The sequence below is a fragment of the Homo sapiens genome, chromosome 12 (assembly GCF_000001405.40).
Source record: "Homo sapiens chromosome 12, GRCh38.p14 Primary Assembly".
Classification (NCBI taxonomy): Eukaryota; Metazoa; Chordata; class Mammalia; order Primates; family Hominidae; genus Homo; species Homo sapiens.
Window position 1 is genome coordinate 118738531 of NC_000012.12, and position 23732 is coordinate 118762262.

A 23732-nucleotide genomic window follows, 5' to 3' on the forward strand; every position below is an offset into this window, starting at 1 on the left:
ATGCTTGGGCTGTGTAATTTTTTCATCATATGTTTGTTTCATTTTTCTTCAGTGTTTTAAAAATATGAGGTTCACACTTTTTCTTGGGTGAGAATTCATCTGTCTCCCTCACTCAGCTCTGAGCTTCAATAGGGCAGGGTTCCCATCTCGTTCATCTACGGGACACCATCACAATGACCCCTTCTCCATCAGGCTCTGCATCCTCAAGTCAGCCCATTCCCTTCTCTCCCCACACTTCCCATAGTAATAACAACACTGATCAAAACAATAGAATATTAACAGTGTGTCTTATTGAGCACTTATTTCCCAGGCATTGCAGAAATTCATTACATAAATCTTTTTCTTTGATACTTACAACAACCTTACAAAGATACTGTTATAATTATCACCCCTTTACAAATAAGCAAACTGAAGTCCAGAGAGAAATTTGGCCCATGTCAAAGATAGCAGAGTCAAAGGTGAAAGCGAAGCTGGAGTTGAATTCACCTGTGTCTGACTCCTAAGTCTATGCTACCTCCCACTTGCCTCCCATTCTTTATGCCTCAGTTGGTGCTCTTAGCACTATTTGCCTTGTAGGCTGTGGTTTTCCCATCATTCATTCATTCAGCAAACTTTTTGAGACACTGCATGAAGTGGTGGAGACTCAGATGAGTGAATGAAATGAAATCCCTGCTATATTTGAGATTTCTGTTGTTTGTTCACTGACCAGCACCCACTTTCTTTTCACAGATCATTGTCTTTATCGAGGTAACATCTCCCCACTGGAGAGAGTATGATGGGGCCATAATTGGGGACTCTGCTCTACTCTGACCAAGCAATGGGCCTTTGCTCTTAACAAGGCCAGTCCACCATCCCCTCCCTGGGACTTGATGCTGAGCAGAGGGACAAGGGGCTGGACAGGTCTGAGGTTCTATTTCCATCCCAGCTTCCTGGAGCATTCTTGGTTCATTCCCAAGGCCGATTCTCCAAACTCACATTGACTTCTTGAGCCCTGACATTCTTCCAATCAACTCCCTTGCTGTTTTAAGTTAGCCAGGGCAGTCTCTGTCACTTACAACCAAGGAGCCCTGAATTATACAGGTAAGTAGTGTGTGCAGTAGGGATGCACCACAAGAGCACCCAGTTGAGCCTGAAGAGGTCAGGGAAGGCATCCTGGAGGAAGAAACATCTGAACTGAATCTTGGAGGAGTAATAAGATATAGAAAGGAATGGGGGAAGGGTACACAGGCTGAGGGAGAAGGATGCTCATAAAAAAATCATCAGTAGCTTCTATTGGGCACTTTTTTCGCTTAGCTCCTATAATAACCCCTTGAGGTTGGTGCTGTCACTGCTCCTATTTTATAGATAAGGCTCAGAGAGGCAGTGTGGTTTGTCCAAGGCCACACAGCTAATGAACGGTAAAGATGGAGTTTGCACCTAGTTCCATCAGCTTCCAGAGGCCTTGATTTCACATTAAGGGGATTAATATTTAGTCTCTAGACACCAGTCCAGGGGCCATTGTGGTCAGCTGACTACATCCCTCCTGGGGCAGTGGTGACTTTTTTGGTAGTGTGATTCCCATTTCTGGGCATTCCTCAAGGAGGCCTCTCTGCAGGCATGTGGGGCTAATGGCTGAGTCGTTTCTATTTTCTCAGAAAGAGCCATTGTTTATTTCTTTTTAGGGGTTTGGTCAATTAGAGAAGCCAGGTGGCAGGCCCTTGTGAATTGCCTTTGTTTGTGGATCTGATGCAGCCTCCACTGCGGCTGGGGTAGCAGGGAGCTGCTGTGCATCTAGCTTCTGGGAGGGCATGAGGGGCTGTCAAGAGCAGAGAGAGCCTGGAAGGCAGCCAAGGGCAAGGCCAAGTCCGGGAGGGGGGGCTTCCAGATGTGTGTGTGTGTGTGTGTGTGTGTGTGTGTGTGTGTGTGTGTGTGTGTTTATGTATGAAAGAGATAGAGGATGGAAGGATGGAGGTTGGGGGACATGGGCTGAATTTCCACAGCCTAAATTAATTTCTTCTTTACTTAGCCTCCTCCTTTCTTCCTTCCCATTCTTTCATTCAATTTATGCATTTATTTTTCTCCTTTCAAATATTACAGCTCATTTTAAAGAAAAATTCAATTATACAAACGGAAAAAAAAGGAACCCAAGTTCATGACCCCAAGTCAATCACTGTTAACAGTCTGTCACTTTGGGAGGCTGAGGCGGGTAGAAAACTTGAGGTCAGGAATTCCAGACCAGCCTGGCCAACATGGCAAAACCCCATCTCTACTGAAAATACAAAAATTAGCTGGGCATGGTGGCGGGCACCTGTAGTCCCAGCTACTCAGGAGGCTAGGGCACGAGAATCACTTGAACCTAGGGGGTGGAGGTTGCAGTGAGCGCAGACTGTGCCACTGCACTCCAGTCTGGGTGACAGAGCAAGAGACTCTATCTGGAAAAAAAAAAAGTCTGTAATTACCCACTTTTATCCTCTTCTGTAATCTGTCTTTAAAAAAAAACAACTAAGTGGGTAATGGGTGCACCAAAATCTCAAGAAATCACCACTAAAAAACTTATTCATGTAATCAAATATCGACTATTCTCCCGAAGCCTACTGAAATAAAAAAAATTAAACAAAACCCAACTGAGTGGCATATTGTATATATTTTTGTAGCAGAAATTTTTGTTGACTGCATAATTGGTTTGTTTTAACTACTGTTTATTGGGTGCCTACTGTGTTTCAGGCACTGTTGTAGGTGTTGAGGATACATCAGTGAACAAAAAGACAAACATCCCTGTCCTCCAAGTACAAGCAAAGTCCTCACTGTGACTTATGAGACTCTATGTGACCTGCCCTCCATGTTATTTCCCTGACATCATCTCCTGCCACACTCCTTTGTCTGCTCTGATGCAGCCACAATAGTCTCTTCTTTGTTCTTTGAACAAGGCAAAGAGGGAAATTCCTGCCTCAGACTCTTTGCACTTGGTCTCTTTGTCACAAAGCCTTCCCTTAGATATTACATGGATCACTCTCATTTCCTTCAAGTCTTTACTTCTTAGCAATGCCTTCCCTGGCCACCCTCTTTAAAATTTCTAATTCTACCCAACTAATTCATACCCTTATCTGCTTTGAAATTTCACATTAGTAGGTATCACTAACAGACTATCTTATTTCTTTTTCTTTGTTATTATTATGTTCAGTACAGAATACACTCCCTAAGGGCAGGGATTTTTGTCTGCTTTGCTCACTGCTGTATCTCCAGTGCTCAGAATTGGCACATACCAGTTATTTAATAATGTTTGCTGAACTAATTGAATGAATGAATGAAAACAAGTCAACTTATATATGTTTCCCAAAATGATGGGCATAAATATTATCTTGTTTTAGTTTTTATTTTCTGGACTGTAGATGAGGCTATGAATCTTTCCATATATTTATTGGCCATTTGTGTTTCCTCTCCTGTGAACTGCCAATTTTTCTCTTGAATTGCTTATTTTATCCTTATGGTTTACAGGAATTCTCTATATACCATTGCTTTTAACTCTTTGTTGGTTTTGTGCATTGCAAATATTTTCTCTGGTCTGTGGCTTTTAAAAAAATTATAGTTTGCTTTTACTTATGATTTGTTTTGTTGTGTATAATTTTTTAAAAAATCTCTGTTGCAGAACTTACATTTTAGTGGGATGAGACAATAAACAGAATAAAAAATAGTTATATAGTGCACACACATATTTTAATATATATACAAATATTAGAAGGACATAAGTATTAGGAAGAAAGAAAAAGAGGGAAGGGGATAAAGAGTATGTGTAATTTTAAATGGAATGTTCAGGAAAGGACTCACGGAGAGAGACATTTGAGCAAGGTGTGTACATTTGTTAGTACTGCTTCAGTTGTAAGTTGCAGAAACTTCCTTGATCTTGTTAATTTAAAAGGACATTTATTAGAAGAATGGTGCTGGACAGACCCATGGACTCCCAGGGCAGGTGTGTGCCTGGGACATGAAAAGGTTGACACAGAAAACTGGAGATCAAACTAGAACACGGCAGGTCCATCTCTACTTTTTTCTGCACACTTGTTTCAGCTTTCTTAGCAGATGGAATTTCTCTGCCACTTAGTCCACATGGGGTGAAAAAGATGGCTCCCGACCAAGTTCATGCATTACAGGTCCAATTACCCAGGGAGACTGATTTTCTTGGTTCCAATTCTGTATTCCCAGGGAATGGAATCTGATTGGCTGAGCTTGGATGAGGTGTTCATCCCTGGTCCAGTCAGCAGCAGAAATAGTCCCATTGTACAAACATGGCTGCTGTGGTGGTTAAGGGTATGGCGATTGTAAGACTCCATTTAAATACTGATTATGCATGCATGTGCATGGGCAAGGCACACACACATATGTACACACACACACATACACACATACACATAATGAGGCTTCTCATCTGCTATTCTAAATGCTCGGTGTGGGATTTCCACCTTGACTTTATAATCAGAAAAGTCTTTGTTTTTAATTAAAGAGATAATTGGACTTTTTTTTTTTTTAGTGAAATAGAGAACAGGGAGGTATCTCCCCCCTGAAAACACAGTGTTCTTTGGTAACAAATTTCTGCTTGTTATGACTATTCATGATGCCGACCAATGGTGCCAATTACAGCAGTCAATCTTAGATTTTTCAACAGCTTGACATTTATCTAGTGGTCCACTTTGCCTCTCAGTTTTGTTGATAGCAATTGGAGGAAGGATTACGGTTCTTATTTGGAAAGGCCAATAAGCAAAGGCCTGGGAGCCATTTGAATCCTCCTCTCTCCTTTCTAGTTCTGACTCAATTCTGACTCATGTGATATGGTTTGGCTGTGTCCCCACCCAAATCTCACCTTGAATAGTAAATCCCCACATGTCAAGGGCAGGGCTAGGTGGAGATAATTGAATCATGGGGGCAGTTTCCCCCATCCTGTTCTCTTGGTAGTGAATAAATCTCACAAGATCTCAAGGTTTTATAAATGGAAGTTCCCCTGCACAAGCGCTCTTGCCTGCTGCCATGTATGATGTGACTTTGCTCCTCATTCGCCTTCCCCTATGATTGTGAGGGCTCCCCAGCCTTGTGGAACTGGGAGTCAACTAAACCTCTTTCCGTTATAAATTACCCAGTCTCGGGTATGTCTTTATTAGCAGCATCAAGACAGACTAATACATCATGCAAATAAGTTAGGGAAACAAAATGGGGATTACAAAATGGACCAGGTTTTGTCTTAAAAGAGCTTACAGCTTTAGTGGAGAGATAGACTAAATAATCACACCAATCAATCTGTGATTATAAATGGAGATAATGCTGTGAAGGAAGGAAACACATCCATGAAAATGCACAGTAACGAAACGAAAGTAGGTTGGGGAGTTAGGAAGGAAGTGACATCTGAGTTGATATATAAAGGTAGAAAATTAACCAGGTGAGGGAGGGACCTAGGGTGTTAGGAGACAGCAGCCTATGTGAAAGTCCTATGGTAGGACATTTGAGGTCCCAATATCTCTTGCCTAAGGGCCTCCTATTCCTCATTTGGAAAATCTCATTGCTTCCAAATATGGTGGGACATCTGAGAAACCATGAGGAGGCCAGTGTGGCAGGTAGACAGAGAGTGATCTGGTGGGTGATTGGAGAAAGAGGGGAGGCAGGGCACACCCTGTATGCATGGCCTTCTGAGCCATGATGAATATATTGATTTTTATCTGAAGGACAATGGGAAGCCATTTAATGGGCTTTAAGTGGGGACCACATGATTATATCTGTGTTTTGAAAAGGTTCTCTGCCTAAAGATTAGATTAGAAACTAGAGTGACTATAGCAAAGTCAGAAAGGCAGTACTTGGCAGTTGTCCAGGCAAGAGATGGAAGTGGGTTAGATTAGTGTGGCTTAGATTGAGACAGTGATAAGAAGATGGATTTAACATATTCAAAAGCTATTTAACAGAGAAAATAGTCAGGGCCCAGCGATAGGCTAGAAAAGGAGAGAGAGAAAAGAGAAAGAGGAAGGGATGGGAAGAAAGGGAGAGGGCAATGGGGACAGGGAAGTGGCAAGAAGAGGAGCAGTGGGGAGGGGGAAAGAGGGGAAACCCTGAATGATGCCAAGTGACTTAGGGAACTACGTGGATGGCGCTGCTGTTCACGAAGACAGGGTGTGTTGGAATAGAAGAAGATCATGAGTTTGACCTTGGACATGCTGAGGATGGAATACATTTTAGACTACAAATATGATGCATTATATTCAACAAAAGATTTTGAATACAAAGTATTTTATATGAGTCTGTAGCTGAGAAGAGAAATCTCACTTGAAGATAGATATTTGGAAGTTGTTTGTCAATAAGTGGCAGTTTAATTTTGGGCATGGATAAAACAACCTAGGGAGAGAATAGAGTAAGCCTTGGTGTTCCTCACTAAAACTCAGTGAAAAGGCAAAGTCTAATGTGCCTCCTGTTTTTCAACACTCTCGATAAATACAGCAAAATAGCCTCTCTTCTTTCTCCTTGGGGCAGAAAATAGGGCATAGTGAAACAAAGTGAATTTTAAGCAACGAGAATCATTCTATATATGAAGTGAGGGCAGCAGTTCCTACCTCCTAGGATAGGATCATATGGCTGGCTTTTATTGGACTGCATAAGTGGCTTAATGACCAGGGGCAAGTGACTTCATTAGAAGCCCCTCCTGATCGTGGCAAAAGCATGACTGCATCACTGCAGAATGAAGACACGGTCCCCATCTCTCTTGCCTCCTATAGGTCCTCCTATTCCATAGGTCCTATTCCATAGGTCTTGCCTTCTATAGGTTCTTCTATTCCATAGGTCTTGCCTCCTATAGGTTCTTCTATTCCGTAGGTCTTGCCTCCTATAGGTCCTCCTATTCTACATTTGGAAAAGGCTATTGCGTCTCTTAGCAGGAGCAACACATGAATCACTGCATCAGGGTATAGAAACCTCATTTCAGGATTTCTAGCTTGGCCTGAGAGCAAAGTCTCTAGTCACTTAGAGAGCGGGGGTGGCTGCATAGGCAGCAATAATGGAAGAACAATAGTAACGGGCATCAGGAAAAACAGCTTCTGGAATATCAACTAGGCAGCCCTCTGGCCTTGGGAGAATGCATATGAATTGATACCTGACACCTAGCCTGATATTAGGACATATTAGTGTTAAAAGACCAAAGAGGGACTATTTTTTTTTCCTGTACATTTGGGCAGTTAAAGTCTCCCTGTTGAGGTGCTCCCAAGTATCAGTAAGAGGATGGCATTACATGCCCCCAACCTAGTGGAAACTGAAGATACTGCTCACAGACATTTAGATAATGTGCAAGATTTCCTGCGATTAATTAACAGCAATGAGCCCTAGAGGATCATGTTGGTGGAAAGTGGGAGAAGATGTTGCTCTTGGTCTGCAGAGATGTGGGAAGAAGGACCACAAGCCATTCTGGGCTAGGGAAGTAGCAGTGGAACATTATTCTAAGAGTAAAGAAAGCTGGGCTTTGCTGTTTGTTCATCCCCTAATCTTTGAAGTCCTGGGAGATCTTGAGCAAAGAATTCTACCTTTGTGAGAGCTTCCAAAGACTTTTCAGAAAATGGGAGCGATGACATGAGGCCCCCATATCAGAATAATTTTTTCCGAAAGGGATTAATTTTTTTCTCTGGATGACTGCTTCTCATTTTATAAAGACTTCATGCCTTTTCCTCACCATCTGGTTTGTACTAGTTACCATTTACTGAGCACCTACTATGCACCAGGCATTGTCCCAGGCACTTTACATATGCTTCCTCACTAAATCCTATGTGGTAGAAGTGATGATTGTATGTCTCCATTTAAAGAGGCAGAATCCAAACCTTAGAGAGGTTAAACAAGTGACCCAAGGTCACGTAGCCAGGAAGGGGCAAGGCTGCCGTACCCACACAGGTCTGCTGAGGGCAAAGCAGGTGTGCTTTCTCTTTTGCTAGACAGACGAGAATAACTGACAGTTCCTTTTATTCTCTAACTCTCTCAGGATGAAGTACAAAACTCTTCAGAAAAAGCTTAGCATTGCAAAACCAAGCATCCTGGAATGAAACTGTAATGAAACTGTAAAAAATACATTTCAAAAGAACATAACAAAGTTTTTTTTAATGTCTTTCCATTGTTTTTCTTTTTTCCTTATTATAAAAGCAATTCATGTTCACTATGAAAATTTGGAAAATACAGAAAAATATAAAGAAGAAAATAAAAATCACTCTAATCTTATTACACAAAGAAAATTGCTGTTAACATTTATTTTATCTCTCAACAGTCTTTTTTGTATGCCTAAATGTACATACATATATATTTTTAACATAATTGGGATTGTCTTGCCAAATTGCCTTCCAGAAAGGATGAACTAATTTACATTCCCACCAGCAGTGTTGGAACATATATCCCTCACCCTGGCCAGTAGAGAGGTTTTTTCTTTTTTAATTTTAATTTTAATTTTTTTATTTTTTGTCTTTGCAAGTGTAATATGTTTAAAAGGCAGTCTTATTGTTTCCATTTGCATTTTTTGATACTGAAAGCCTGACTTAATACAAATTTTCAAAGCTTATTAGACATGTATATTTATTCTACTGAGAATTACATCTTTTGTTAATCTTTTATTGGAGTTTTAGTTTTCTTTTATATGTCATTGATTTGTAAGAGCTCTTTACATATGACAGAGGTTTTTATTTGTCTATGCTAGATGGGGAAACGAACACTTTCTCCTTCATCCTTTATCTTTATTAAAATTTATTCTTAAGAAGTTGGTGTTTGGCTTTCTATTTAGCTTATGATTTTTGGAGGAGCAAAAAATTTTAAGTTTTTAAAACAATCTTGATCGAATAGATAGATATTTTCTTTATGCTAAAAGTTAAAAATGTGGATTTAAGGCCAGGTGCGGTGGCTCATGCCTGTAATCCCAGCACTTTGGGAGGTTGAGGTGGGCAGATCATGAGGTCAGGAGTTTGAGACCAGCCTGGCCAACATAGTGAAACTCTGTCTGTACTAAAAATACAAAAAAGTTAGCTGGGTGTGGTGGCGGGTGCCTGTAATCCCAGCTACTTGGGAGGCAGAGGTTGCAGTGAGCTGAGATCGTGCACTGCACTCCAGCCCAGGCAACAGTGTGAGACTCTGTCTCAAAAAAAAAAAAAAAAAAAAAAGTGGATTTAAGACTTTATCACTCTAGATTATTCATTAACTAGTTGATGCCTCCTAGTTTCCTTAGTTTCCAGGGAAGGTAGGTATACTCTATAGAAAGGGAGAAGGGATGGGCTCTGATCTAAGTCATATGAAAAAGAAAAAGGAAATGCAGAGGAAAGAGAAAGCAGTGGAGAAGCCTACTTTTATTGTGTCCATTTTTACTCATGAAGAAACTGAGGCCTAGAGAAGTAGAGCCAGTTGCCCAAGGTCACTCAGCAATCTGTAGACTGAGTCACATGTTCAGATTTTTAAGGAGTGGGGAGAAACATTCACTGGGCCTTCTGCCATCCATCCATCCATCCATCCTAGTGAGTGCTTCATGGGGGTTCTTCCTTTGGGGTCTTGTCTGCCTTTTGAACAACTGAGAATGATAGAGAAGTAAATGACATCTTTCTCATTCTCCAGGTATGGTGGAAGTTCATGAAAACAGTTAAAATCAATTACAATTGACCTTTGAAGAACATGGAGGTTGGAGGCACTTGATTTGACCCCCTGCTCAATCAAAAATCTGCATATCTTTTGGTTCCCCCAAAAGTTAACTACTAATAACCTACTGTTGACGGGAAGCCTTACCAATAATATAAAAGTCAATTAACACATATCTTGTATGTTATATGTATTTTATACTTATAATAAAGTTAGCTAAAGAAAATATTTAAGAAAATCATAAGAAATAGAAAATATATTTACTATTCACTAAGTGGGAGTGGATCATCATAAAGGTCTTCATTCTCATTGTCTTCATGTTGATAAAGCAGAGGAGGAGAAGAAAGAGGAGGGGTGAGTCTTGCTGTCTCAGAGGTGGCAGAGGCAGAAGAAAATCCAAGTATAAATGGACTTGTGCAGTCTACAACCAGTTGTTAGTGGGTCAACTATACATTCAAGAGTCAAAAGTAATTTTTGGTTAGTTGTATCTAGGATTGCCCAAGCCACAATTGCTTTCTGGTGACAAAAGTAGTTGGAGGTTAATCATTGACTAGGCTGTTACTTTTATTAAGGATGTGGGTCTACAGTCCTGTTGGCAGAGAGCAGGTAGATTTCCTAAGGTCTTGTAGTGTGTTAAGCACAATATCCTGTCAACTGGGGGCCAAATTGGAGTTGTTTGGATGCAGGTACTCTAATAAGACCCTATTCAATTTTCACAACAGCTCTAAAAAGCAGGCACTGTTACAGGAAAGGGGTCCTGATCCAGACCCCAAGAGAGGGTTCTTGGATCTCGCGCAAGAAAGAATTCAGAGCGAGTCCATAGAGTAAAGTGAAAGCAAGTTTATTAAGAAAGTAAAGGAACAAAAGAATGGATACTGCATAGATAGCAGCCCCAAGGGCTGCTAGTTGCTCATTTTTATGGCTATTTCTTGATTATATGCTAAACAAGGGGTGGATTATTCATGCATCACCTTTTTAGACCACATAGGGTAAGTTCCTGATGTTGCCATGGCATTTGTAAACTGTCATGGCGCTGATGGGAATGTAGCAATGAGGACGACCAGAGGTCACGCTCGTGGCCATCTTGGTTTTGGTGGGTTTTAGGCAGCTTCTTTACTGCAAACTGTTTTATCAGCAAGGTCTTTATAACCTGTATTTTGTGCAGACCTCCCATCCCATCCTGTGACTTAGAATGCCTAACCATCTGGGAATGCAGCCCAGTAGGTTTCAGCCTTATTTTACTCAGCTTCTGTTCAGGATGGAGTTTCTCTGGTTCACACGCCTCTGACAGTACCAGCTTTATTCCCATTTTACAGATAAAGAAATTGAGGCACAGAGTTTAAGCCACAAAGCTCAAGATCACTCATGCTGATAAATGGAGAAGTGGTAATGCTGGTGAAGGATACAATAATCTGCCTACCTGTACCCCAGCCCAACTAGCAGCAGGTCCCCCAGTTGTATATCTGTTACCACCTCCTCTCCTCCTCATCACCTTCCTACCCCAACCTCCACCTGGAAGAACTGCCTTATTAAATTTCTTCCTCATCAGAGGGAGACAGTGTTTCTCTCCAGAGCGGCTCTTGGCGTGTAATTACTAATCAGATGTAGGCAATCAAGAAACATTTCCATCCCCACATTTTCCTTCTCTCCTCCCCTCAAAGGACACCTTTCTGGGGGAAGGTGACTCCTTCAGGAGTTCAGATTAGCATCAACAGCGGGGTGGGGAGGCGGAGAGAGGATGAAGAAAGGCATCAAACTCCTTTGCAAATTGCAAATGACAAGGCATCTTTTGCCGCTGGTTTGCTCTCTGCTATTTTAAGGGGCCTCATTTAGCATAATATTTGCATCATTTGTGTCTTACCGGATAATTAGGAGTAGAGACAAATTCTTCTTGTTCCCAGACTAAGGGCACTGGGGTGGAGAAGAAAGGAATCTCTGGAGATGTCTCTCAGGCTGGAAAGCTGTTAAAAGTTACTCCCTCCAGCCCCAATCTCTTGCTAAAATTCCCAGAACATCAGACATTCTGAACTGGGGTCATTGCTCATTGTTTGGCTTCAGGGACCCCTCTAAAACTCTAAGCAGAATTCTGTGTTTATAAAATTGCTTGCAAATTTTTTTTCCCTTGGAGAGAAGGTCCATAGCTTTCATCAGCCTCAGAAGTCTGCAACTCTTAAATTAAATGACGTACAATGGGCATCTGTTTTGCTTCACCAACATCCATTTGCCCTTTTTCAGGTCCCAGCATCTTCATTTTCCTTTGGGGAAACCAACCCTCTTCCATCCTCGTTCCATTTTAGGGTTGTCCTACAGGACTTTCTGTGATGATGGAAATGTGCTCTAGAATCCACTTCTCCACGGAGGGCCAGAGAGCTGCCCGTGCTTGATGCAGCAGCCATTAGGGTCCGTGGTAGTGGTCTATATTTTAGCCTGGTTTCTCCCGAAGCCTGACAAATTCTTCCTTCCCTCTCATTTACTTGTGTTTCCAGTGGCTACTGCAGTAATGAGTCAATGGCTGAATATATTTAAATGCAAAATACCATTACCCTTCATTAAAAGGCTTGTCATTGCTGGCCTCTATAGAAGAAAGTGATTATGCTATTAAAGGCCCCTTGACACATGGCCCGGGAATGACCAGGCCTTATTCCCAGGATTTCTGCCACTCTTCCTAGGACAATCTTCTTCTGACTCAGCTGTTTATGCTGATGAGGGCAAGTCAAATCCCTGTGAAGCCAAATTTGTAGTTGGGGGAGGGTGCCAAGGGCTTAGGACAATGCTGCCTTTTTTGCAACATCCTCCCAGGTGTCTGAGCAGAGCCCTATTCCCTGCTAGAGATCCACTTCCCATCTGTCTGACCACCGGGTCCTCAAGCCTGACTTGAAATCCTTCTTCTCTTTCAATGTCCTTTAGAAAACAGTCCACCATTCAACTTTTAAAATCTAATCATTGCCTAGGACAGGATTTGACAGTAGTTAATAGCAGCATAGGCTGTGGAGCTGGGCTTAACAATGTTCATAATTCTGCCACTTATTCACTGTGTGACCTTGAATAAGGGCAGACAATTTTCTTTAAGACTGTTCTCTTAATTTCAAATAGAGATAAATACTGTGGCAGACATTGTTGGTCCCTACTCGATAGCCATGCCACATTTCTTCCTCTCTTGCCTGTCTCTCACTATAGAGGCTGAAAAAGCCAGATACATTCCCAGCCTTTCATGTAGCCAAGGGTAACCATGTGACTAAGTCTTGGCCAATGAAATAAAAGGGAAGTTGACTTAGAGGATTCTGGAATAATTTTTCTCCAATAAAAAACAGAGCAGTGCTCAAGAAGAGATCTTTTGCTCCCTTTCCTCCTTTCTGCTTTGAATGCTGTTGTGTGAGGTTGTGATGTCCGGAGCCATAGTAGCCATCTTGTAACCATGAGGCAACACACTTGTGAATCTACAACTAGCAATCTGAGGATGATGGAACAGCAGGTTGTAAGAACCTGGATCTTTGATGATGTCATTGAGATGCTGAACCAATAGTGGGGCATTCTATTTCTTTGTTCATGATGTCTTTATTGCTTAAGCCATTGGCAGTCATGTTTCCTGTTATGGGCAGAGAAATATTATTTCTAAATGATATATCAATCCTAGGCTCACAGATTGTTGTGAGAAATAAATAACATAATGTATGAAGAATTTCCCACATAGTCCCAGAAGCATGATAGCATACAATAAAGAGCAGCATTTATTATTGGTAGGAATAGCTGTACCGAGATTCACAGGTGAGATTTGAGGAAGCATTGGGAAATTTGTAATGTGTAAAATTTGACCCTCTTCTGCCCTCCCCTCTTACCTGGATAGATACTGGAATCTGAAAATGTTAGCATCAGAAGGGAATCTTTGATCTTAGATTAGCTTAACCCTTGTCTTTCTATAGACAAGGAAACTGGCCCTCAGAGTAGGAAAGAGACTATCTGAAAGTCACATAACTTCATGACACATGGTGGCAAAACCAGGGCTGAAGATTAACATCTCTTGGATTTACAGGCGAAAATTCTTCCTCCCGCACTCAGTTGCCTCCATTCCCATTCCAACAAGCTCAAACATTGTTGGCAGGGAGAGGTTAATGAGACATCATATGGGGAATCATTTTGAAAGTTTTGGGAAGCGCTTCACACAAGGAGGGTTATAATTCTTAGTGCATGCGGTTTAGCATGTTGCTCCTCTGTCCAATGGGCAGGGGATGTCCTGGAAGGGGAAGGGTCTTAGCTGGAGGCTCTGTGCCTAGCTGGGTGGTACATCTATATTCACTGACTCATTAATCCATTCACCGATTGATTCATTTATTCAAGAACTATTTACAACATGCCTACTCTAAGCTAAACACTGGGTAGATTTTATTTAAAATTTGTGGGAATGGGCTGGGTGCAGTGGCTCATGCCTGTAATCCCAGCACTTTGGGAGGCCAAGGTGGGCAGATCACTTGAGGCCAGGCGTTTGAGACCAGCCTGGCCAACCTAGCAAAACCCTGTCTCTACTAAAAATGCAAAAAATTAGCCAGGCATGGTGGCATGCACGTGTGGTCCTAGCTACTCGGGAGCCTGAGGCACGAGAATTGCTTGAACCCAGGAGGTGGAGGTTGAAGTGAGCTGAGGTGGCCCCACTGCACTCCAGCCTGGGTGACAGAGTGAGACTCTGTCTCAAAAATAAAAAATAAAATAAAATAAAATAAAATAAAATAGGCGGGGGGTGGTGGCTTATGCCTGTAATCCCAGCACTTTTGGGGGCCAAGGTGGGCGGATCATCTGAGGTCAGGAGTAAAAGACCAGCCTGGCCAACACAGTGAAACCCCTTGTCTACTAAAAATACAAAAATTAGCCGGGTGTGGTGGTGCGCACCTGTAGTCCCAGCTACTCGGGAGGCTGAGGCAGGGGAATCGCTTGAACCCAGGAGGTAGAGGTTGCAGTGAGCCGAGATCATGCTGCTGCACTCCAGCAGAGTGAGACTCCATCTCAAAAATAAATAAATAAATAAAAATAAATAAATAAATAAAATGAAATTTGTGGGAATGATTGGGGCAGAGAGTGGTAAGTGAAACTCCTACTCCCCCCACCACCCCCCAGAAAAGCCCTATTGTTTGTCAGTTTTAGTTATCACATGTAAGGATGGATTTATAATCCACTTGTCATAGTGGATTCTGTTCTGTTTGGATTCTCCAATAATGTGCCATAAAACCTGATGCTATTCCCTATTTCTGGGATTACTTTTTTGGGACCTGTGTTGAGAAGGTCTTAGTTACTTAGTGAAGGTTTTGGGAATGGTCAAACTGATTTACTGGCCTCTTCCCTTGCAGGGTGAGGGATTATAGTGAGATGGGGCCTGGAGCCTGGAAGATTTCGCAGAGGGAGTGAAAGGACCTGACTATGGAGATGGGTAGCTTTGGGTTGAAGGCAGATGGCAGTGGGTAGAGGGTGAATAGAAGTAGAAGAACCTAACCTTTCAGGTCAGAACGGCTTGTATTTGAATATTTCCCTGCTAATTCCCAGCTGGGTGACCTTGGATAAGTTGCTCACCCTCTCTGTGCCTCAAGGGGCTACAAAATGTTGTAGAGATAAAATGAGATGCTATATTTAGAGCTCTTTGCATAGTGGTTGGCACACACTATCCCAAGATAAAGATTTGGGTGCAAGTAGTGCATTTGGAAGGTGATGCCAAGAAGTACCCATGGAGGTGAGTGAAGTTACAAAGGAAAGGGAAAAAAGTCGATACTGGGTTATTATTGGATAAACTAACACTAGGGGCAACTGAAGCTCAATCCCATTGCAGACTTCTGGGAAATGTCGTAGAACATCTCTCAGAGTTACCTCACTTATGAGGTACAGAAGCTGGGCTATTTATCCTCCAACTCCCACCTACTATGGGGTAAGTAAGTCCTGCCACTAAGGCATGAACTCCCAGAACTTCCAGCATGTCCTGAGTGAGCAGGGAGGAAGCCCTCAGGTAGAGACCTGCAACGCAACTCTTCACTCTTGGAACAGTGAGCACCAAGGATATATGGATAGACTGATCTGAGTTCAAAGTCATGTTCTACCACTTACCACTAGCTATGTCTTCTTGAGCAAATCATCTAATCTCCTGTCTACTACAAGTGTAGTACATGGAGGCATGGGTGTTGCCAGGGAGCTGTTAGAAATGCAGGTTTTGGGGCCCCATTCCAGATGTATTAGTTATCTATGGCTGCAAAACAAGTTATCCCAAACCTTAGCAGCTTAATCAACACACAGTTACTATCTTGGCCACAGTGTGTTCCTTTCATTGACATGCAGCGGGGCTGCTGCTTTGTGGTTAAGAACAAGGGAGATTTAAGGCCAGAGGCCTTGGGGAAGAAGGAGAAAGAAATAAAGTTAGCTGAGTGTCTGTCCCTCTTTTTACCAACTCTCCACACCTAGCCTAATGGCCTAATTCTGAGGTCCAATAAAGTCAGCAGCTGTGATGAAAAGTCAAAGCTGTCTGGTTCAAAAAATATGTCAGACGCCGGACCCAAGCAAGGCTTCTTGGGGATAAAGTGAGAGCTTGAGTTAAGGAAAATTTCATCTCATCATCTCTGCTTGAGGCCTCAGTGCTGAAGGTTCATGCTGGCCTTTAGAGGATACGGCTGGGGATGGGGGGCGAAAGTCAAAGAGAGAGCACTGAGCGACTGTAAGACCCAGCTTTCTGCTCTCTACCCTCCTCCAGCCAGTGGCTCAGGACCTGTGCCAGCACATGGGGGTGTCATGGAGTAACTGCTCACTACGCTTATGGTGCTATTTTAAACTCCTTAGGTGTATTGAGTAATTTAATTTTTACAACAACCCCATGAAGTAGGTATCTGTTATTATCCACATAATACATATGAGGAAACCAAAGTTCAGAATTTTTAAGTAACTTGCCTTGCCCAAGGTCACACAGCCAGGAAGTCACACAGCCAGGAAGTTAATATGACCTCAGTCAGGTATACTCACAGGATGCCAGTTCTGACACATCAGGTTGCACACCTTTAGGCCATCAAGAAGTTGATGATTGCACTTCAGGGAATATCTTAGGTTGGTTTTCATGTCTTTTCCACATGTCTTAGTCGGTTTGTGTTGCTATAAAGAAATACCTGAGGCTGGGTAATTTATGAAGAAAATAGATTTATTTGGCTCACAGTTCTGCGAGTGTACAAGAAGCATGGCACCAGCATCTGCTTCTGGTGAGGGCTTCAGGCTGCTTCCATTCATGGTGGAAGGGAGCCAGCATGTGCAGATCACATGATGAGGGAGGAAGCAAGAGAGAAAGGGAAGGTGCCAGGCTGTTTGTAACAACCAGCTTTTGGAGAAACTCTCAAGGGAATTAGCAGAGTGAGAACTCATTACTGGGAGGACAGCGCTAAGCTATTCATGAGGGATCTGCCCCCATAACTCAAGCACCTCCCATCAGGCCAACTTCTAACATTGAGGACCAAATTTTAATATGAGGTTTGGGTGGTCAAATATCCAAACTATGGCACCACAGTTACCTTTGCTTCTTCCAACCATCTTTAGTAAAACACATTTTTATATTCCTACTGATTCATTCACTTATTCAACAAATGTTTATTGAGTGCTTACTATGTGTTGGTCCCATTCAAGGGGCTGGAGATGCACCAGGGAATGTAACAGACAAAATCTCTGTGTTTGGGGCACTCATATGCTTGAGGGTGGCGGGAGACAGATAATAGACAGACGAATTAGCTACTATATTAGAAAATGACAAACGTTACAGAAAAAAATGATCAGAGTAAGGGCGATTGGCAGTGTGTGTTGCAGTTTTAAATAAGGTTGTCAGGAGGTGAGGGAATGAGCCATGTGGCTACCTGGGGGAAGAGCAATCCAGTCAGAGGGAACAGCCAGTGCAAAGCAGATGGCCAAAGCATGCTGGGTATGTCCAAGGAGCAGCAAGGAAATTAGTGTGATCAGAACAGAGTAAGCAAGCAGAGGGTGGTGAGAGAGATTATCACAGAGGTAGCAGGGGCTAAACAGGTAGGGCTGTTGCAAAAAAACTTTTGCTATTCCTCTGAGTGATATGCAGAATCACTGGAGGGTTTCAAGAAGAGGTGTGACTTAACTTGAGTTATATTTCAAAAGGAACACATAATAAAACAACGTTGTTGTATTGAGAATAGGCTATAGAAGGGCAAGGATGGAATCAGGAATACCAGTGGGGAGGCTACTGCAAGAACCCAGGTAAGAGATGATGGGGGGTTGGACCATATGGAGTTGGTGAAAAGTGACCAGATTCCAAATACGGAGATGAAGAGTTTCCAACAAGCATGAGTTTGAGATTTGTCTTCTCCACTTTTCACAGCTGTCCAGGCCATGGGGGCTTGTGTAACTGAGATCCTTTGGCACCAAAGGCAGCTACTAAGACCCTAGGCTCCTTCACTGGGCTGCATATATCAAACATGTTGCACCCAGGAGTTATTGCTGGCAACATCTTTAGTCTCTCTGGCAGTGAGATCAGTGGAAGCTTTTATCTTAATTAAGTTACATGGGGCACCATCATCCATCCATCTTCTCCAATTAACTTGGGGGAGAATATGAGGATGATGGTGGTAGAGAAGACAGCCCCAAGCTGATAAACATGGATCAAAACAGACTGATTGGAGTCTCTGAGGACTCATCAGAAAGGAGGATAGAGGAAAAGAGGATTTGTCAAAGATGTTTTGGTGGAGAAAAGAGTTCAGAAGGCTGTCTTCTGGTGGAGGATTGATTTAGGAATCACTCCAGTGGACTGAGCTGTGCTTCCTAAGCTTGCCTTAATGAGAAAACACCATCTGCGCTCCCCAGACTTGTGGTCAGAATGCCAGGACCCTGGAATCTACTGATGTCTGCAGCTGGGGTGGCTTGCATGGGCTGCCACAGCTGGAGGTGATGTGATGGCGTATCATTCTGGATATACATTAAACTCATCAGTAGAGAGCTAGAAGGATGAAGGAAGAAAGGGGAGAAGGAAGGAGGGAGGAAAGGAGGGATGGAAAAAAGGTGGGAGGGAGGAAAGGCAGGAAAGAGGGAAGGAGGGATGGGGTAGGGAGGGAAGGAAAGAAGGAAGGAGAAAGTGAGGGAGAAAGGAGGGAAGGAAGGAAAGAAGAAGGGAGACAGGGGTTGGGCGCAGTGGCTCATGTTTGTAATCTCAGCACTTTGGGGGGCCGAGGTGGGTGGATCACTTTAGCTCAGGAGCTCGAGACCAGCCTGGCCAACATGGCAAAACCCTGTCTCTGCTAAAAATACAAAAATTAGCCAGGTGTGATGGTGCACACCTGTAATCCCAGCAACTCGGGAGGCTGAGGCGGGAAGATCGCTTGAACCCAGGATGTTGAGGCTGTAGTGAGCCGAGACTGTATGTCTCAAGAAACAAAACAAAAAAAGAAGAAAGGAAGGAGGGAAGGAAGGAAGAAATTCAGAGTCCTATATGAGATTGCAATCTGTTGGGCAGCCAGGGATAAAACTCCCTGGAAGAAGGGCAGTGGGTTTCTGTCCAAGGTGCTGACTTTTTGGCGCTCTCTCTCTCTCTCTCTCTCTCTCTCTCTCTCTCTCTCTCTCTCTCTCTCTCTCTCTCTGTCTCTCTCTCTCTCTGTCTCTCTCTCTCTCTCTCTCTCTGTCTCTCTCTCTCTCTCTGTCCAAGGTGCTGACTTTTTGGCTCTCTCTCTCTCTCTCTGTCTCTCTCTCTCTCTGTCTCTCTCTCTCTCTCTCTCTGTCTCTCTCTCTCTCTCGTCTTCCTTTGATGCCTCTTCTTGCTTCCTACATTATTTTTGTGGGGTGGGGGGTGGGAGCAAGGTCTCAGTCTGTCACCCAGGCTGGAATGCACTGGTACCATGTCGGCTCACTGCAACCTCTGCCTCCCTGGTTCAAGCAATCCTCCCACCTCAGCCTTCTTAGTTGCTGGGACTACAGGCATGCACCACCACACCCTGCTAATTTTTGTGTTGTTTGTAGACACATGGTTTTGTCATGTTGCCTAGGCTGGTCTCGAACTCCTGACCTCAACTGATCTGCCCCCTTGGGCTCCCAAAGGGATTACAGGCATTAGCCACCATGCCTGGCTCTACATTCAAATTTTGATAGATATTTATTGAGCACCTATCACCCCTCAACACACTCAAGGTCCTGTGATACACCCTGGCAATTCAAGGAGTGAAGCTGACAAAAATTCCTGCCTTCTTAAAGCTTATGTTCTAGTGGGTGGAGATATTTAAGAATTGGGGGGCAGGGGATGGGCAGGGAAGGTACATTGTCTATTAGAGGTGAAAAGTTCTTTGGAGAAAAAATAGAGCAGAAAAGAGGAACAAGGAGGGCAAATTTTGATGCATCTGTAAATGGGATTGTCAGCTTAGGCATCACTGAGATGGTGGCTTCTGAACAAACATTTGAGAGGACATGAGCTATTCGGGTTTGCCTGTATTTTCACACCAACCAGTGGTATCGTTCACACTTCCCACCAAATCCCTATTCTTTCCCACACCAGTGCTTTTGCTTATGATATATCCTCTTCCTGGTTGCTCTTCTCCCCAGTTGCGATCACTACTGTGTTCAAAGCTGACCCCTTCTTTTAAAAAAAACCTTGTATATTAACAAATATCACCTCCCTTAGATTGTCCTTTGACAGGAAGCGATATTAACCCTCACAGCACAATATAGGCATCACTCCCTAGCTCTTTGTATTTTTGACTGTGTTTCTGCATTGTTCAAGTCCTGAGGTTGTCTCCTCTATTTGGAAATTCCTAAAAGGTAGAAACTCTGCCTCGATGGTTAAGATCGCGGTGTCTGGAGTCAGACAGACCTGCATCCAAATCCCAGTTTCTCTACTTGATAGCTGTGAGGTCTTGGACAAGTCACTTTACTTTGGTGAACTTCGGTTTTCTTATCTGTAATGAAGAGGTCATAATATCACCTGCCTTATGGGGTTGTGGTGATAATTAAACATTAATGAATGCAAGACATTTAGCAAGGTTCCTAGGACATGGTTAGCATTCAGAAAGTTACAGCTGGCATCATAATTACCTTTCCTCTTATCTGCTATGCCTATCCCAGGTCCTGACATACAGTTCTTACCTTATAAAATATGTGAATGAACACATTTCTTGGTAATTCTTTCTCAAAGAGTGGTCTATCAACCATAGGTACAAGAGCCAAGCAAGGGAACTTATTAAAATGCATATCCCTGAGCTCTCTAGCCCATCCCTCCTGAATTTAGAGGGCAGGAGCTCAAGAATCTGAATTTTAAACAGTGTCAGGGTAATTCTTATATGCACTACATTTTTAGAATCACTCAGAGTAAATATAGCGCAGAGATAAAGGACATTGACTCTGTAACTCGACTTTCTGGGCTTTAATTCTGGCTCCACCACAATGAAGCTGTGTAACCTTTGGCAAGGTATTTAACTTAACTCTGCCCCAGCTTTCCCCTCTGAGACATGGGGATGATAATAATAGTAGCCATGATGTAGAGTTTTTTTGATATATATATATGTGTATATATATATATATTATAATCTACAGTAGATATCTGTATTTTATATACAGTAGATATATATATATTTAGTAAGTATACACATATACACATGATAGCTGATAGCTGTTCTAAGTTATACATCTGGCATACACAATTAGTCTTAGTTATTATATTCTGTTTGTAAGCAACCTCTGTGAATAGTCAGTTCACATGAATTTGACCAGGGGGCTTTTGAGATTGCTTCAGAGGTCTCCTTGCTTGACAGCCTTACTCCACTCTGTGTGCACAGCTGTTCTGAAGACATGAACCTTTAGTCAGAGAGAGAATCAACCCAAAATGAGCCTCAAGCACTTGCCCTGCTGCTGCTACTGCTGGTAGGAAAATAGCATCCTCTCTGCTCTTTAAAGAGCTCCTCTGGCAGATGTGCGCACAGCTGTTCCACCTCCTTCCTGCAGGCAGAGAGCAGGCAGATGCTGACAAGAGTTTGAGAAACATTGCCATCACCAACTCACACAAGTATTGCCTGCAATGGCTTCCCTCCCCTTCTCTTTCTGTGTTTCTTCTCAAGGAGGTCATGGGGTGAGAGACATCTCTTAGTTTGAACTACCTCTAGAGGGAGAACTTGAGGTGGGAAATCAAGAGGGGAGAATTTCTAGGAATGAAGAAGGAGGTAAAGAGGAGACAATGTGGAAGGGTGGGGGTGGCTAGGATACACAAGGTATGTCGGTTGAGTCTAATTCTGGTAAGGATGTCTTGCTGTGTGACCTTGGGAAAGTCACATTACCTCTCAGATTCTTATTTCAAGATGACAAGCACAGGGTAGTAGAGTGAGCAAAAGATTTGGAGCACAATCTAGGTAGGTTGGAATCCTGGCTTTACCTATACCAGCTGTGTGACCTTGGACAAGGTCTCTTCGCTTCTTTGTACCCTTCATTTTCTCTAGAGAAAGACGGGGTGTGGAAATATTTGTCCTATGTGCTCAACAGGTTTACTGCAAGGATGAAGTGACCCAATGGATGTTCAAACACATCCAAAAGTATGAAATGCTACAGATGAGTGAGGTTTCATCCATTCCGTCTATGGAAACTTGACTCTCATCCCCCCTGAGCCTCTGGCAATATTGTGTGGGAGCAAAGAATTGAAGACAAGCTGCCAGGAGAGGGGTTGCCTTGTTATGGGTGCTGCTTGCAGAATAATTAGGTTTCAACATGCAGCTCACTCCATTTGCAAACATAGCTCCAGGCATTGGCAGAGGAGAAGGACATGGCTTTCATCCATCACAACAATGCTTTCTTTTAGGAGGAGGTTTGGTGCAATGGTTGAGCACAGGAGGCATAAGATGGACTTATTTCAAATCCCAAGTCTATCACTTATATCTTTGTGACTTTGGGAAAATCACTTCACCTCTCTGAGCCTCAGCTTCCTTTTCATTAAAATGGGATAATTATAACTACCTCACATCATTATTGAGGATTAAAAGGGATAAAGTGTATATAAAGTATTTTGCCCAATGTGTTGTACTTAATAGATTTTCAATGAACAAATGCTAGTTTTTATTCATTTATTTATTTTTTGAGTTTGAGGGAAGGACAGCCTTCTTAGGGTTGACTAGTGATCTTGCAGCCACTGAAGCAGATATTTCATCAGCTAGAAATCTGAAGTGTGTTCAAAAGAGCCCCAGACTTGGGATCACCATGGCTGGAAGTTGAGACCCGTTGGTGCTATGTGATTTTTAGATGTGTCCCTTCCCTTCTCTAATTTTTAATTTTTAATTTTCATAGCTGTAAAATGGGAGTAAACAGCCTTAATCTGTCTCAGAGGATTGTTATGAGGCTCAGATGTACAAATTCATGAGAAAATGCCTTGTAAATTTGAAAGTGCCATATAACCGAAAAGAGGGTGCTATTGTGTGTGACAGCTACATACCATCTTGCCACCATAGACTTTCTATTCTTTACCATTCTAAAGCTTACCGTGAGCCAGGCAGACTAGGCCAGATGGAATTTGGCCTCTGAAATCCTGAAGCCTGAAATTCCTCTGTTTCTGGAGCCTGGATCTCCGGAAGTGGAGGACTGCCCTAGCCACAAAGCTCCACCCTCCTCTGATGACATCACACAGAGTAGAACCAATCACTGCAATTTTCTTAAAGTTCCTCCCACTGGCAAATTTATTAATACCCAAATAGCTGAGCCAAGACAGTCCAACTCCTTGAGGACATATTACAAACTGCCACCCACTCTCTGTCCCACCTCCTCATACTCAGGGCCCTATGAGGAAACAGAAAAATGGGAGTTTAGAGAAAATTTAATGAAGGTACTACTCACAGAGGAGCAGGCAAGGTTGGGAGAACCAATGAGAGATGTTGAGGCACCAAGAGACTAGCAATAGTTGGGAAATGTTACCACCCCTAGGCTTAAATATGCAGAGAGGAGTGGGCCTACCAGAACTTGGTGATAGGTAGAACCAGGGAGGGAACCAGCAGGAGCTGTAGTCGAGAAGGACTTAGCCACAGCTGTCTGGGAGCAGTGGCTCATGCCTGTAATCCCAGCACTTTGGGAGCTGAGACAGGCGGATCACTTGAGGTCAGGAGTTTGAGACCAGCCTGGCCAACACGGTGAAACCCCGTCTCTACTAAAAATACAAA

At 42.9% G+C, this 23732-nt stretch overlaps 1 long non-coding RNA gene across 2 annotated transcripts; it reads right to left on the reverse strand.

Annotated features, from left to right (window-relative positions):
- LINC02423 (long intergenic non-protein coding RNA 2423) lies at positions 20224 to 23149 on the reverse strand. Of its 2 annotated transcripts, NR_134998.1 has the most exons (3): positions 23062 to 23149; positions 21444 to 21537; positions 20224 to 20501 (listed from the first exon to the last, which is right to left on the reverse strand). It is a non-coding gene; the product is annotated as a long intergenic non-protein coding RNA 2423 (long non-coding RNA). The 2 variants fall into 2 exon arrangements; NR_134999.1 differs by lacking the exon at positions 21444 to 21537.
- Between the last annotated feature and the right edge of the window lie 583 nt (positions 23150 to 23732).